Source organism: Homo sapiens, chromosome 12, assembly GCF_000001405.40.
Source record: "Homo sapiens chromosome 12, GRCh38.p14 Primary Assembly".
Lineage (NCBI taxonomy): Eukaryota > Metazoa > Chordata > Mammalia > Primates > Hominidae > Homo > Homo sapiens.
This window is the reverse complement of record NC_000012.12, coordinates 47099478-47116366: the sequence shown is the minus strand read 5'-3', so window position 1 is coordinate 47116366 and position 16889 is coordinate 47099478. Positions and strand designations below refer to the sequence as shown.

Sequence of the window (16889 nt, the reverse complement as noted above, 5' to 3'; positions counted from 1 at the left end):
TATTTGCTCCATTAAATTTATTTGCAGACTAGAAATAATTCAGTTGCTTTGACAGACTATGTACCTTTCCAAAAGGAACAAATAATTATTGGTGAGGACAGAGCTTATCAACATCTTTTTTGTAATCAAGGCTCATCACACTCAGGGTGTGTCTGCAAATATTTATATGAATTTTGTATTTGCCTTCCAATTACTTGACACCATGTAGATACGTTGATAGTAAAGGTCATTTTAAAATAGAAACATGTTGAGAAAGTAACCATCATATTTTGAAACAAAACATTAATGTGATATGCTAATAGAAATCATGAAACAATTGAATCAGGAATATTTTCTTGTTCTATATACCTTATTTATTTCAAGTTTTCATTATTCTAACTAGCATAGATTTCTAGTGAGCTAATTTAAAAGAATATAGTTTCACTAATGTGAAGTAAAAGCTAAAGTGCCCTTAGATGCCAAAAACCAATCCATACAATATCTTTGGATCAGAGCCTGGCATAGCAGTTCACTTTGTCGTATACAATTATTTTTCATTGTGCATATTAAATAATTTACACATAAAATAATTATAGGAAGATGTAAGACATGTTAATTTTACAGGGTGTCTCCAATCTGCTATAGACCATCATCATGTCATTACCTCACTTAGAGAATAAATGGTTGTACATTAGGTGAACACAGAACTTAATCTCTAAGATAAGGAGACTACATATCACCTTTTTAAAACAGCAAAGTAACAAATTATTTTCTAATCTGAAACATTTCTAGAATAAGCAGGGGAAGAAGAAAAAGATGAGGGGAAGGAGAAGAGGGAGGAGGGCAAGGAGAATGGAGGGAGGGGAGGAGGTATCAAAGTGTTCATATTGCCTTCCTTTATTGAAGCAGTTTCTGGTTGTACCTCATGAGTGTGGCTACAGCTTTAAGACAAAACCTTCTGTGTTTGTCCACCAAAAAAGTACAAAATGAAGGGTCCAGATAGTCCACAGACATTGCGGGAGGGGCAGGGGAGCAAGGAGGAAAGAAACCACAATAGCAGGAGTGAGAACCGAGTGAAGATACCATGCAAAGGTGGTTTAATGTCGTTTGGGCAGAAAATAAAGGAGCAGCAGACCCCTTCAACTGTTTACCACCGTAATTCCCCCACCATTAGTATCAGGATTGAAAATTAGGCCTAACTCAAAGAAGGCTGACACTCTTGGTTTTGGTAAGATCCTAAAATCACCATACATTTATTCATTTATATAAGTATTTATTGATAACCTGTGTCCAGGCTTTATTATATACCTTTTTATACACTTAGATAAACAGGTAACATCCTGTTTTACTCAGACCCTACTGAATAATTTGCTGTATTTGTTCTTTATTATTTTTGAAAAAGATACCAACTTTGGAGTAATTCAAACAAGTTATAGTTTTAATTTGCATATAGTCCAACTTCCCAAATCTACTTCCCACCTGTATTTCCAGACTATGTTATTAAACCTTCTTTAATGGACAGCAGGAAAAATGAAAGTGTAATTTCCTAAAAACGTGCTGTGTCATGAAGTAAGATGATCACGATGGAAAGCCAGATGCTGCCATTAGCTAACTCTTCAAGGCTTACTCTGAGGCCTGTACGTTGTTGGCAGTCTCTGGTGTTGGGGACCTTCATTCCTGCTCCAGCTGGAGGGCTTGGTGCAGCAACCTCAAGGCTTCTGGGCTAGGAACATCTGCTTTATCTTAAGAAAGCTCTACAGATCAAGCAGTAGCAGAAGTAGTGGGGAGGCAGCCTCCTCTAAACAACGGCAATGTAATTTTGAACCAGAATTGAGGCATGTGCTTATGTGCTAAGAGCCAGACACTGGGCTGTTCCCAGGGGTAACGTTCTCTGTCTCTGGTGCAGGGGTTCTAAGGCGACAGAGCAGAGTGTGGAGAAAGCTGCATGTCCAGCTTTGACAGGCCAGATTTTAATGAACTGAAAAGCCTCTTTCCAGACTTCAAATATTTCTGCTTTTAAGTCATAAGTTGGACTTGAGGCAGAGGGCCTGAGTTTGAATCTAAACTCTATCACTTACTTTCTATGTGGGCTCAGTTTCCTCATGTGTCAAATGGGAGAGATTAGCATCCAACTTGCAGGTTTGGTGTGAAGATAAAAGTGTAAAAGATAAGCCTCTAAGTGGCACATAGTGGATACTCATGAAGGTGTGCTGAATCTGAATTCTGATAGCTGCTCTCTCTGTACAAGTGTGCTCCTGTGTTATGGCTTTGCATCTTTCCCCAAGCCCAGTAAATCTGTAGTCAATTATCTAAGTCCTAGATTCCCATCTGGAATCACAAGAGGAAGAAAGAACTATGCAGACATACAAAGGGTTTCCCCATTGTGTACCTCTAAATAAATTATGTGTGTGTGTGTGTGTGTTTTTTTTTTCTTTTTTAGATGGAGTCATGCTCTGTCACTCAGGCTGGAGTGCAGGGGCGCAATCTCGTCTCACTACAAACTCTGCCCGCCACCACACCCAGCTAATTTTTGTATTTTTAGTAGAGACGGGGTTTCGTCATGTTGGCCAGGCTGGTTTCGAACTCCTGACCTCAGGTGTTCCACCTGCTTTGGCCTCCCAAAGTGTTGGGATTACAGGCGTGAGCCACTGTGCCCAGCCATGCAATTCTTAAAATTACATTCTTAAAAAAAAAAAATTGCATTTTGGCTACACTTTGGACATATATGGTTCTCTGCATACAGGTCCCACAGATTTCTGATGCAAACTAAAAAGCAGTACAAATCTGGTAAAATCTGATTGTCTGAAGCCTCTCAATCTTTCTGCTCCTTTTGGGAGGTGGGGGTAGAACAGGGGAATAGGATTTGAAGCAGGAGCGTCATCAGTATGGAACAATGCAGTATAAAGCATGAAAGCTGAGCAAACAGTCAGATCTGGACAAGCTTCTTTCTCTTTGTTGCCAAATTTGGAGTAAAAAATGCCTCATCATGTCATGGTTGTGAAGATTGAACTAAATCATGTATGTAAGCTGCCTAACACCGTGCCTGATACATAGTATATGTTCAAGAAAAGTGAGGTATTTTCATTCCCCTTCTGTGATTCCTAAATTCAGAGATTTTCCCATCTTCTGAATTTCCATAGCCGTCTCTGATACCATATATTATGTCCTCACTTGTACAGTATTATGTAATTGAGTATAAATCCTCTCCCCTACTTCTTTAGAACAGGGACTCTGTCTGAGCATCTTAGTATATCCCAGAGACCAAACCCAGTGCCCAGCTTTACAGAATGAATAAGACATCCCCAAGTCATTGGGAGGGGATTGTGTATGTTTTTAAATAATGCTAGTTCTGTTGTCCAGTTTTTGGTAATAGATTGTAAAGGCAAACCTAACAAGAGTGAAGGAATATCAGTTAAGAGGAAAGGAAAGGAAATTCCATTTGCTTTTGCACACAGCAGGGCAGTCGTATGTGCAAGGGCTGACATGCCCAAGAAGCTGTTACCGCTCTCTGCAGGCTGAGGCTCTTTACTGTAAAAATGAAACTTTAGTCTCTTAGCTGAAGGAAGGAAGCACTTGAATAATCCCAGTACTCCCTGGAGCCCAGGGAAGAATTGAAGAGTCTTCCAAAAGGCATAAGAGAAAGGCAGGTACTATGTCTATTACAAACACTGGCTAATAATGTGACCTTACAGAGTTTTTAAGAGACCACACATTGGAAGGCATCATGGTAAAATAATGTACCCTGGAAGTAGCTTTTTACGACAAACACTCAAATTTCTAATTACTGAGGTCCAACATATAGATTGTGATTAAAATCACAAACAAAGCTTCAGCTAAAATCACCGTTTTGTTAAATAGAAACAGCCAGGGAAATAGTGAGTGGAAGTGGTTGCTTCATTTCCTCCACTAACATCATGGAATATGGAGAGATATATTTTCCTCCAGGATAGAAACTTAATGAAGTATAGAGAAATTTGCTAAGAGAATCTTATTAAAATGGATCTTACTTAAAATTCTAAAGCATAGCTTTTAGTCTTTAAACAATCAAGACTCTGTATTTGGAAGTCATTAGGAAATAAAGTCACTTTTCAGTGGACTGAGAGGAATCCCCTGATGCAAGTTTGGCAGAAGTTTCCCTTGGATAATAGATAGGGAGTGTATCAAGTAATTCCAGATTTTATGCTGTGCTTGGTGCAGTATTGGCCATAGAACAAGTGTTAAATAAAATAATAGCAACATATGACATGGAAAGCCTGATTGATTCTCCTATTCTTACTGCTAAACCCACATACCAGATGGTAATACACACCCATAATCAAGCACAGAGCTCGCGTGGGCTGGGGGTTGGCAGCTCTGAGTCAGGTGGGCTGCCTTTTCTCTGGCCATCTTATGGAGGGGCTACACGACCCCCACCAACAGCTTATGAGGGGCAGTGCCGGTGCCTTTGAGCGATCAGAGAACCCATGAATGGATAATCCATGAATGATACTGAATTCCTTCAAAGATGTACAAAATGACATCGGCTCCCTTTACCATGAGAAGAAGTGACTTTCTAATAAGATCTGTAAATAAACCGAGGTACCTCAGCTAGAACAAGCACAGCTGGTTGCTTATGAGACACTTGGAAGTATTTATTGGCTCTTTAAAAAAAATTTACCTTGAAGACATTATGCTGAGTGAAATAAGCCAACCAAAAGAACAAACACAGAACAATTCCACTTAAAAGGGGTATCTACAGGAGACAAACTCACAGGCAGAAAGTAGAAATGTGGTTGCCAGGGGTTGAGGGTAGGGAAGAATTAGGAGGTTTTTTTTTAATGTGTTTGGAGTTTCGATTTTGCAAGACGGAAAGAGTCTTGTGGGTGGATGGTGGTGACAGTGGCACAATAAAGTGAATGTACTTAAGGCCCCTAACTGTAAATTTGAGAATGGTGAAGATGGCAAATTTTGTGTTATGTGTATTCTACCACAATTTCAAAATATGTAAATAATATAGACATAAAAATCTAATAAGTACTTATTTCTTCTGATGATCAGTGAAAACCATGGTGATCTTTCTCCCATCCTAAAATAATAGCAGATGCATTTTGAAGCATTTAAAGGCAGTCTTCCAACACTCTAATACAGGTGTTGGTTCCCCTAGAAAGTGAACTCATCTAGGGCAGAGTGATGTTGTTCTGATCTTTATGTCCTTGTGGCTTTGTGATCTTTATGTCCTTGTGGCACAGGTCCTTGAAACATGAGAGTCATAGCATCCTTGGGCTTCTATTATTAAGGCAACCCAAATGTTAAATAGACTCTTCAGTTGTACCAAAAATCAATTTTTCAGAAATCAGACCACTTACAAAGCAATTGAATTCAGTGGGAGGAGAAATGTATTTCTCTTTGAGATTTGAAGTTACATACATCAAACTTCAAAGAACACCAGAGCATTCTTTCATGCTGCATATGGTTTTTGAACTGAAGAGCTCAAACCTCTGGTGCTATGACCTCATGTTTCCCTGCAACTGTGATGCGGGACATCAAACTTCACGTTGGACCAAGCTTTGTGTGTGTTTGTCATTGACTCAGCAGAGAAGAACCTGATCAATAATCACCTGAAAGAAGACACTAGTTACATCTAAAAATGAAGCTCATGTTTGCATGATCAAAGCAGCTTCTCAGGGAACCTCATACCTTTCATTGATTATATTTCTGATTAGTGACACAGACGGCTCCCAAAACATTTCTTACTTGAAATTCAAGATGAGGCTGCTTCTCTTGCATTTATAGATTCTGCCATGCAATTAAAGTTTTATGGAGTATCTTTGTGTATTAAGGGTTTTGTCTCCCCAGTAATGTCTCCTAAGTCACTTTTGCAGTAAAAAGATCATATTTTATTAGTAAATTTGGGCTAGATCCTATGTTGAACACATTGTCTTTGTTAACCACAAACTGTTACCAAACACTTCCTGGGTGAAATATGTTTGCAATTCATAATTAATTGATTGGCTGAATCCTATGGATTGCGTAAAAATTATTTATTGAAGTGGAACCCTATTGCGCTTTCCTCTTTGTTGACAAAAGCTCACATTATGGCCTCCAAACACAGCATTTTTGTTTTTAACCTCAAAGTGGGGACAGAAGAAGTGGTTGCTGGCTGTCCTCTGGATTAGTGATTTACAGGACTAATTGTCCATTCATTTTACCCCTCACTTCATCCAGTTTTCAGCTCAACAAAAGCACATATTGTTTCATTTAGAGACATGATCCCCATAGGAGGAGAGGAAAAAGCAAGAAGATTCATGAATGATTCTGGCCACTAACAAACATCTTCCAAGCCAACCATTCAGGCCAATTCTAAACTCCATTGCTGTGTGTGGCAACATGAAGTAGAATCTCCATTTTACTAACTTAAAAATCACTAAAGAGTTTGATATACTGCCCAAATTTCAACATGGTTTAGAATCATAGAGGTGTTTACTACAAGGGATACCAGAGATCATCATGTTCAGTGATTCCCATTCTTGGTTCCATATGAAAATCACCCGAGGCACTTTTTAAAAGTGCTGATGCATAGATCCTACTCCCAGAGATTCTTATTTAACTGACCTTAGGATGCAGTATTTAAAAGTTTTAATAGCCTTTTAAAAAAGTTTTTCAGGTAATTCTATTGCACCCCCTTCTCTCCTTGCACAGGCCTGGCACATAACTAGTTTTCAATGAATATGTTATAAATGCATGACTGAATAGAGATAAATATGAGGGAACACATTATTTCCACATATGGAATTTTATAGAGATGGAATAAAACAAAGAGCCAGAAACAACCATTACATTTTTTGAATTTTGAAAATTTCTGAAATTCCAGAAACTTGCCATTTTCTTCCTAAAATGTCAAATCTCCTCATCATCACTCTAAGTCTCTTTTTCCCAGAATCCTCAACTAAAACCACCAGGCAGGTGTAAGATAGAGACAAAGAGGGATGGCTTTGCCTGTGAAGACTTTTAAAGACAATAATAAACCAATTAAAACTAAAAAAAAAAAAAAAAGTTTTTCAAGTACTTGTAATGTGTAGCCAGGGTTGAGAATCACTGATATAGCTCAACTTGCCACCTGCCTCCATTTACAGAGAGAGGAAGGAAAGTGGTTTGCTGAAAGTTGCAAGAAGACTGGCAGCAGTATGCAAGCAGGGACTTCTACATCCTAAATCTAGTACTTGAATCTTCTTGAAAATTTCTTCTACAGTATTCTGCCTCCAATTCTGTTCTTTGGAAAGTGCAAAAACATAAGTAGAGTACTATCAAGTAGGTGATTTTCATTCAACCTAGAATAATTCCAAATTGAGATTAAAGGCCAACTGGAAAGTTTATTTTAGTTTTCATTTCAAGACCTGAATCATGATTAATCCAAAAGATGAAAGAATTCCATCTGTGGTGAGGACTCTGCCAAAGGAAGACAAACAAAAGTTGGTGTGTGCCCCGAAGTATTACATACTTGTAAAATTATTACTATTATTTTTTGTAGAGACAGGGTCTCACTATATTGCCCAGACTGCTCTCAAGTAATCTTGCCTTGGCTTCCCAAACTGCTAGAAGTACAGGTGTGAGCTGCCATGCCTAGCCATTAAAATTAAACAGATTAATCAGAGGCATGAAGTTTAAAGAAGAGAAGAAAACAAAATGAAATAATAAGAGTGGTTGTAATGAAAGCTGGCCTTGGACTGATTCTAAAGATGATGCCATTCTGTTGTAAAACTCAAGTAATGAAAGCCTAAGAGAAAATGCAAAGGGCCAATAAATATGTGAAAAGATGGTAGGTCTCACCAGTGGTCAGAAAAATAAAAATTAAATTGCAATTTAATCGAAAAGATTAGGAAAAGTACAAAGATGATCATACAAGCCTGGCGAAGATGTGGGGAAAAACACAATCTGATGTACATTTGGGAACTGTTTTGCTTCCAGACAGAATCTGAACAACAGGAACGTGTAGGGTGCAGAAGATTCTGGGAGAGGAAGTCATTGGGAAACAGCTGTCATCAACTGTCATTGCCATTTAGATAGCTGAGCCAGTATGTTTAGGTCCTTGTGTGTGGTGAGCATGGGCAGCTTCTAAATCAGCACCTGAGAAGCTCATCAGCACTCAGGCTACTTTCCCTGTGTTTTGCCTCCTGCTCACATCCTAAGTCCACTCTAGCAGCAGATCTCAGGGTTATCCAACTGGAAAAAGCAATGCTTACTCACCTGTGTCTATCTGGAAATCCTCATCATCTTGCAAGTCAACAATTTGCATCCTCCTGGATAGGAGGCTTCCCACCAGCTTGGTTGCTGCCTACTGTTTACTGAGGGCTCTCACTGGTACTAGGCATACCATTTTACTTGCTCATACTGTCATTTTGTACTCCAACAATCCTACAAAATAATAATTATTTACATCCTTATTTTATATATGAGAAAACTGAGGTCCAGAAAATTTAAATGTCTCTCCTAAGGACACCCAGCATGTAATTAGCAATAAAGATCCTCATTTTTCTGGTTTAGGAGTCTTACCTGATGTAAAAGAGAAGTTTTGGGAATTAAGACATATTTACTTTTCTACCACTTTCCTCCTTAGGGGGACATTGTATCTGTTGTGGAACTGGCTAGTGGGTGGGAGGCTAGCCCAGGTCTAGTGACACCTGCACCTGAGCCTGAGTCCCCAGCTGGCATTCTCTCATCCCTGAGGCACTGCATCCTTCCCTGCCAGGGTCACTGCCAGCCCCGTCTGCCTGTTGGTGCCTGTGCCACCTCCACTGCCACTGCTGCTGCCTGCTGGAGTCTGGCCTCTCTGCCCAAGTTGGTGTCGGGGGCCATACCAAGGCCCTTCTAGTGCTCTAACTTCGATGCATTATACTTTCTGCTTCTTCTGGGAAAATGGTCACAATCTCAACATGTTCACCCCACTTTACTCTCTTAAATTTGGGCCCTTCGGCCTGCCATCTATCAGCTCCCTCCCTGTGTCCCATGGAGAACAAGAGAGAAGCCTTCCTCCTCCTATGGCAGAGTTTATGCTGTCCCTTCTCTCACAGACATGCCGGGAGAGGCAATACAATGGTTCATGGATACAGGAGAGACTTTGACCCCACCAAGATTCCCAGCCTCTTGATATGGATGTGGCACAGTGCACCTAGGCTTACGGTGTTTGGCCCCGGCATTCACCAATCAAACTTTAGGAGAATCTTTCATGAACATGAATCAACAATGAAGAATATCAAGGTTGACACTCGCCCACCCCTAACTCTGAACAAAGAATCAGGGCACTTGGTATCATGAAGAATTGCTTCAAGGAGATTAACCAAGAAAATCAGAACTTCAGGACTTCCTATGCTTGAGCCCTGGCCGGGTAACTGAGATGGGGGTAGGGGACGATCTGCAGGAGCCCTCTGCCATTATTGGGGCATCCCCTGTCCAGAGTGGGTTCCTAGGAGGCAGAAAGGAACAGGACTTGGGGAAAAGGTGCCACAAAGGGAAGGCTGCGGGCCCCGGAAGCAGAGGAAGCAAGGCCCTAATGTATGTTTGCCAGAGGTGGAGGAAAGCAATTTCACCTGGATGAGAGGCAGAGACTGACAAAGAAAAAAAAAGCTGGAGGAAAAAGAAAAAGAACATGCTCTAACAGGAGAGATTTATTTTTTCTTTTAAACATTTTACAGAAAAGATAGAGAAGCGGGGAGGAGGGAAAACAGAGAAGTGAGGCTGATGGGTCCCTTGTGGGGAGGGGCCCCATAAAGGAGATGGGCGCCCAGGGACCCTATGAGGAGGCTCGACGCCTACAGTCTGGGGCCTGGGATGACAGACATCATGGGCAAGGCAGGTTGAGAGGCGCGTTTGCTGATGCTTTTCCATGACTTCACCTTATCCTGAGCACCAGGTCAGAGGGCTGTTCCGAGGGAGCTGGGGAACTCCTAGAAGTCTATACTTTCTCATAGGCACCCACTTTTCTTCCCATTACGCAACTCGCACCCCTAGGCTAAGGTGTCTTCAACACAAAGATTACCTCAAGGTTAATTATTTAATTCTACAAACAAGAAAAATAATGCAGTAAAGGGAAATGTGAATAATTTATCTGAGAAAACAGCTCTTGACTTTAAAAAGAGAAAATGGAAAACACCAAGTCTTTTACTTCAGCTATAAAAATGGTCCTTTTTTGATAAAAATGTGTATTTTGAAAAATAAATAAATAAAATGGTCTTTGTGGACTCTTGTGGCCAAGCAGAAAGGGCACCGGGCCAGGAGCAAAGCATTTACCTTCTGGCAATGGACCTGTCACACACCTGCTGGGTGACTGTGGGTGAGTTGTTTACTCTCTAGTCTTGTTAGCTCCTCTGTAAAATGATGAAAGGATATTGAAGTTCTCCTCCAGATTTAAGTTTCTATTTGTGTTATAAGCTTTTTAATTAAAAATTGTACAATGCTAACGGCATCATTATTAGAATATCTAGAAAGTATTTCCCAACACTCACAAGAAAATGAAGTCACTGTAAGATCGTGTTTGTCATAATACGTGTCAATTCGCCTGTGCTCTTTTGAAAGCCATTGTCACTTTCCATCACTCCTTTAATCATGCACTGTATTCACTCTTTCTCCTTGTAACTTTTTCCTTCCACAAACAGCATTAAAGCTGCTTCTTACTAGAACCTTTTTAAAAGGGACAAAATATTTTCTCCAAAAAAATCCAACTAGGGTCGACTATTTTGGGTAAAGCAATGACAAAACAAATTTTAAGATTCAGTTTTGAGCAACAGTTTCCACCCCCTCTGCACATAATCATATAGCCACCCTCATGCATTTTATTTTCCTTTTCATAGGTCCCCATGACCTCAGGCCCTAGTCCGCTAAGTAATTTTCCTCCCATCAAGCCCATTTCTACCAATGCTGCATGCACAGCACTACACACTTTTTCTTTTCTGAAACACTGCTTCCACCCTTCACCATCTGTATTTATGCAGAATAAAGTCCAATATCTTCATGAACCCTCAGAACTTTCTTTCCGCACTGGTCTGTGTCTCTCTGAGCAGCTTTAGCCACCTGCACTCCCTTACACAGCCTGTTTCAGCCTGTCAGAAGATTCCCTGTTCTAGGCACATTCCAGACCCTCTTCACTTGAAACATCTCCCCCGCCGCCCCCCACCGCGTTCACTCTGTCAATCAAACCCCAGTCATCTTTCCAAACTCAGCGGAGACTCCCACTCCCCTCTGTATAGGAGCTTTCCCTGAACTCTGCATCTTGAAGGGTGCTGTCTCTGCTTTGTAAGGTCCACAGCCTGAAGCGGCAAAAGAAATGACCAAATTAGACTCAGAGATATTTCCCAATGGGGCTTGGATTTCCTTAGCAGAGTGAGTCCATTTTTAGTCGGCATGAGCGTAAGGTCTGCCTAAAATATGGTCAGATGAGACAGAAGTCAGAGTACAAAAGGAGGTCCCTGCCCAGTCTCCATGGTACAGGGCTGGGGAAGCCCGGGGCGAGCCGGCTTCCTGGGAGTTGGAGAACATGAGGAAGGGGCAGAAGCTGTGGGGCCTGGGATTGGAGGCAGGAATTCAGATTGCACCAGTGGAGGCTGCTGTGGGTGGCTTCACCTTCACTCACCAAGTGTGGTCATCTGGGTCCCGACTATTGTGGCTCTCTACCTTCTACCACCTCCACCCTCCAAAAAATCTTTTTAGAGTAATTAGAAGAGGTTTGGTGAAAGTTGAATTCCCTAAGGCCCTAGAGGTATGACTACTTGGGTTTTTTCCCTCCAGGGTACAACATAATTTACTCTTAATCCTTATTCCAATAGGCCAAAGGGAACTTTGTGATAACCTGCAAGTGGTTGTTTGGCTGTGGCCTGATACCCACAGCATTCAGGTGACTTGCCTGGGTGATAATGAAAATGATAATATAATTAACACATTACAGAGCTCTTACCATGTGGTAGACACTGTTGTAAGTATTGTCACTCATTCATGTTTTTAATGCTCATAACATTTCAATACAATGGTTACCATTATCATTCCAGTTATATAATTGAGAAAACTTTTAGTGTCAAAAGGTTAGCTGCTTTGCCCCAAGTCACACAGCTACTAAGTGTCAGAGTACAGCCCAATAACTAAGGTTTTCATTTTGTTTTGTTTCAATTTAGAGGAAGAGCCTTCGCCAAACCTTTTCTACCATGAAGCCAGGGGAGAAAAACTCACATATTTGTAGGAGGCAGAGTCTTCAACACTCCCCTGACTTTTCCTCTTATGGCATCCTCTGGGATCTTAGGGCCTCTCATTACCTGAAATGTGAAAATGGCATGTTTAATTATTCATTTTCCATCACCCCTAATGAGGGGATTAACTGTCTAGTGAAACAAAAGGAAATAGTCTGACCTTCAGGCTGCATGGATGTGATAATCACTAAAACCTCAAGTCAGTTTAAGCAGACAAATGAAAGGATTTTACTCATCTGGATGCACAGGGGCCATCGGGGTCACTAATTAAAGTCACATAATGGAGCAATGACAATGAGAAAATAAACGTGCTAAAAATTATGTTTCCTTAATTATGTGCACAGGTGCTCTACAGGAGTTTCCAAAGCTCCTTTAACTTACCTGATGTCTTACGGCTTTGAGCTTGGGTGGAGAAAGGGTAACAGGGCTGTGGCTTGCCGGGAAGACAGAGGAGGAGAGTCTGTGGGCATGGGGCAGGAGTCAATTCTGTCTCAGGTATGGAAGAGCATGAGGAAAGTAGAGGCTAACTTAGAGATCTATTAGTCACAACCTCAAGAACAACCGGTTCATTTTTCATTACTTGGTTGATTGGTTTGACCAAACGTTACTGTGGGAATGATTCGTGAACTATTCTGCTACATGGCATGTAAACACAGCCTTCTAATCTAGACCTTTGCTATTAAAATGGTCATAAATAGCTGCGAATTACTACTGTTGTGCAACTCGTGACTTCATCATGGCTTCTGGCAGTGCAGATGGGAGCCACATTCCAGGCCCTGCTGCAGTGCGCATCTTTCCCGTAACATTTAATGAGCACAGGGTGATTGGTGCTGCACAGATGACAAAATGGCATCCTCCTTGCCCTGTTCTCTTCCAAGATAAGACATTTTTAAAAGGCCATAAAGCCTTGAAAGTCTCCCCACACAGATATTGCGTGACCTATAAATATGCATCTGCTCAAAATATGGCAAAATGCATCACTATTAATAACTCCAAAGAGTCATGGAGATTCAGACAGTCCAATTCCTCTGCCAAAAGTTCAGAATGTTTGCTTAGTGCTTTGATTTTTTTTTTAAAACTCTGTTCTTGGTTTGCTTCAGTACATTTTCTATTTAGATACTCCACCGAGTATGTGTCAAACTTTATCTGTGCCCTTACTTGGACATAAGAGAGCATACAAGACAGGAATGGAAGGCCTTTAACGTTATTGGGGTTTTAAAAATTGTGCTTGCTTCACAAATATTTTCCATTTCTCTCTACCATAGCAACCATTACCTTCACCATATATGCAAAAATGGCTAAAGGAAAAGTGAGGAAACTCTTCTACGTTACTTATACTGATAATTATATTGTATTATTACCTATTTCTTGAACAATAACTGTTTCTAGGCACGGTGCTCCTATACGTCATTGCTAAGCCTCAATGTTGAGTTAATAATCAATCCTATAAAGTGGGTGTTATTACCATTTCACACACCAAGACTCAGCAATTAAGTAACTGGCCCATTGGACACACAAGCGACTCTCAGGACTGTAACTCAAACCCAAGGAAGGCTCTTTAGCTTGTGCCATATGAAACTACCAGTGGTAAATCATTCCTGACCAAAAATGGCAGTTTTATGGCTCAACCTAATAGCAAAATGTGTTGCCCTGGAAGGAAATCTAGACTCTCTTCCTGATGTCACAAAGACCCTTTGCAGACTGACATCATGTTGCAGGGAAAACTGTATAACACAGTACTGGGGTAGAGGGATAGGCGAATGGGAATGTAGTTTATTATCTTTGCAGCAATTATTGATATTATTACAAGTAAAGACATGATGTGAAACTGCAAAAAAGTAGCAAAGCCTGACAATATGTCTACATTTTTGGATATCTGAAATATATTTACATTTTTAATACACTTACTTTTTTGGATACATTGTATCTGAAAGTTTCCACATGTAATCATGCTCACCAGACTTTTCTAAGGGTTGAAATGACTTCTAGTATTTAAAAGCTAATGATGTTAAGATATAATTTTGGTAGGCCATGTGTTTTAATGAACAGGTAGTTGATGAGTCTATAACATGGATGTATTAAAAGGATAATTTGGTAAAAGCAATTTAGTTTCTTGGGAACTACTTGGGAGTCAATAGATAGAAGCTATTGTTTAGGACAAATGATTTCTCTGAGTTCTCTCTTAGAAATAATGCATAATAAATTCAAATCTTCCCCCTCCTTTTTTTTTTTGAGATGGAGTTTTGCTCTTGTTGCCCAGGCTGGAGTGCAATGGTGCCATCTCGGCTCACTGCAACCTCCGCCTCCTGGGTTCAAATGACACTCCTGCCTCAGCTTCCCCGGTAGCTGGGATTACAGGCATGCACCACCACGCCCAGCTAATTTTGTATTTTTAGTTGAGAAGGGGTTTCTCCCTGTTAATCAGGCTGGCCTCGAGCTCCCAATCTCAACTGATCCGGCCGTCTCAGCCTCCCAAAGTGCTGGGATTACAGGTGTGAGCCACCGTGCCCGGACCAAATCTTCCTTTTAATTCAGTTTTTTCCCTGTGATCCATATTATAGTTTTCCCCATATAATCTCCATATAGTCAGAATGGGAAAGGGGGCTCATGATGATAATTGCATGTAATGTAGAATGGCTACTGAACAGTGGATTGTTAAGTGCATAAAAATTGGGGAGACTTTGTGTTACAAGTTTTGGGGCAAGAGATAAACAATAGGAAAAGGCTCAGTCATTGAGTCTTAGAAAGAGATTTCAGGCACTGAAGGAAATTCATTTTACTGAAAAAGAAACGAACGAACAAGAAAGCCCAGTAAGTGACAGCTTCACTCACTGGTGGTATCACAGTGACTAACATTTAGTTCTCTTGACTCCTGGACCAGTGCTCTTGCCCACTCCCCAGCCCCACCTCAAACCATAGGTTGGTTCCAAGTAAATATGTCTTCTCCTTGAAACCATCTGGTATAGATAATAATAATAAAAGATGTGCCTAACAAGTAATTATATTACAATATCAAGTATCCTAGGTGATATATTTAAGATGGAATGGAATAAACTAGATTCTTCATATTTGAAACAAGATGATCAAATAACTTTTTTTTTTCTTTTTTTGAGATGGACCTCACTCTGTCGCCCAGGCTGGAGTGCAGAGGCACGATCTCGGCTCACTGCAACCTCCACCTCCCGGGTTCAAGTGATTCTCCTGCCTCGACCTCCTGAGTAGCTGGGACTATAAGGCATGCATCACCATGCCCGGCTAATTTTTTTTATTTTTAATAGACACAGTGTTTCACCATACTGGCCAGGCTGGTCTCGAACTCCTGATCTCAGATGATCTGCCCCCCTCGGCCTCCTAAAGTGCTGGGATGACAACCATAAGCCACCATGCCTGGCCAATCAAATAACTTTTAGTCAACTCTTAAAGGCTAAGTGAAGAAGACATAGACTTATTACCACAATCCAGTCTGTTTGGTCTTTCTTAAGGCCAGAAAGTGTGAAAATATTTCTTTTCTATTCTCCTTTTTCTAGACTTTATATTTACCTCCTGTATGGAAGACATCAGATTTCAGATACTTAAGAGTACACTTGATTTGAGTTTCTGACTCAATATTTTGAATGGAAATCTGAACCAAAACAAAGTTAATGATAGCTTTACTGTATTACCTGTAAAACAAACAAAATAAGTGAAAGGGAGAAGAAGTGCTTTAAATGCAAGAATTCCTAATATCTTTTTTAGTATAAAGATAAGCACATATAAGGAAAAAGAAGACAAGAATATTCATTGATGGATGGATGGATGATTCAGTTGGTTTCTACATTAGCAATGACTCATGCTGTAAAATTGGAATGTTTAGAAAATAAATCCTACAATTGTACCAGAAAAGACAAGAACATAATATGATAGAGATCCAAGCATGCCAAAAACATCATTTTCTTTTCTTTCCATATATGACTTTTGAGTGTTCTGAATACTACCCTTGCGTTTAATGATATAGAAAAAGGAAATAAAACGGTAATCACAGTCTGTCAGAAACTGTGTTCCTTTCTGAATGAAAATACATTCTTCTAAAACAGTATTTATGAATAGTTCTAGATTCAAGAATTTCTATTAATATTTCCACATTGGTCTTAAATAGAATCTGTGAGAATGGTCCTTTTTCCAAGTATGTAAACATTGCTCAGTGTAGCCGCTTGGAGTCACTGAGTTTATACACCTGTACCTGCATTGATGCAAATGTGCTCTCTGCCTTGTGTCTTCATTGGAAAGTCAGCTTTATGACTGGCATGGAATGGATTGGAGCCTGAGAAACTGTGGGCTGATGCTGGAGGTGCCCAGATGGAATGGGAGGCAGGGCTGAACTAGAAAGTCCTTTTCAATTGCTAATAGTGGCTTCTTTAAGCAACACTTTATGAATATGACTGGGCCACCTCTCAGTCTTTTTTTCCTGGACTAAGGAAAAGCTAATAGTAATTTCCTGTTTTCCTCATGCTCTTCAGTTTTAGGAGATCTCACAGAAGTACAAGGGCGCATGGTAGTGCAGAGGGAGTGGCAAAAGGGAAAAGGAAGGTTTTTGAGGGGGTCTTATCTGAATATTAGGCCCAGAAGTTCTCAAACTATTCATTCTGAGAGAGGGAGAAGGAATATCCATTAAAATTATATGTAGAACATGTATTCATTCAAATGGATGTTGTCACTGCTAGT

The 16889-nt window shown here is 40.4% G+C and overlaps 1 protein-coding gene across 16 annotated transcripts in view, besides 1 other annotated feature; it reads right to left on the bottom strand.

Annotated features, from left to right (window-relative positions):
* PCED1B (PC-esterase domain containing 1B) overlaps positions 1–16889 on the bottom strand; it is a 157040-nt gene that overhangs the window by 120294 nt on the left and 19857 nt on the right. For 7 of the 16 annotated variants that reach the window (XM_047429869.1, XM_047429874.1, XM_017020209.2 and 4 more), the window contains exon 2: positions 12172–12254. The exons of 2 other annotated variants lie outside the window; for them this stretch is intronic. The gene's annotated coding sequence lies outside the window, so the exon portion shown is untranslated. Of the gene's footprint in view, positions 1–8202; positions 8371–10242; positions 11259–12171; positions 12255–12569; positions 12688–16889 lie in introns of those variants that run through there. 7 more of the 16 variants (XM_017020207.2, XM_047429868.1, XM_047429872.1 and 4 more) reach the window with 4 other exon arrangements.
* Positions 423–592: an enhancer, noted in NCBI's record as "experimental_28818 CRE fragment used in MPRA reporter constructs". NCBI's record gives its function as "activates a minimal promoter by MPRAs in K562 erythroleukemia cells, with activity observed for both the introgressed and non-introgressed 12:47509643 variant alleles {active_cell/tissue: K562}" and the evidence as "EXISTENCE:reporter gene assay evidence [ECO:0000049][PMID:34662402]".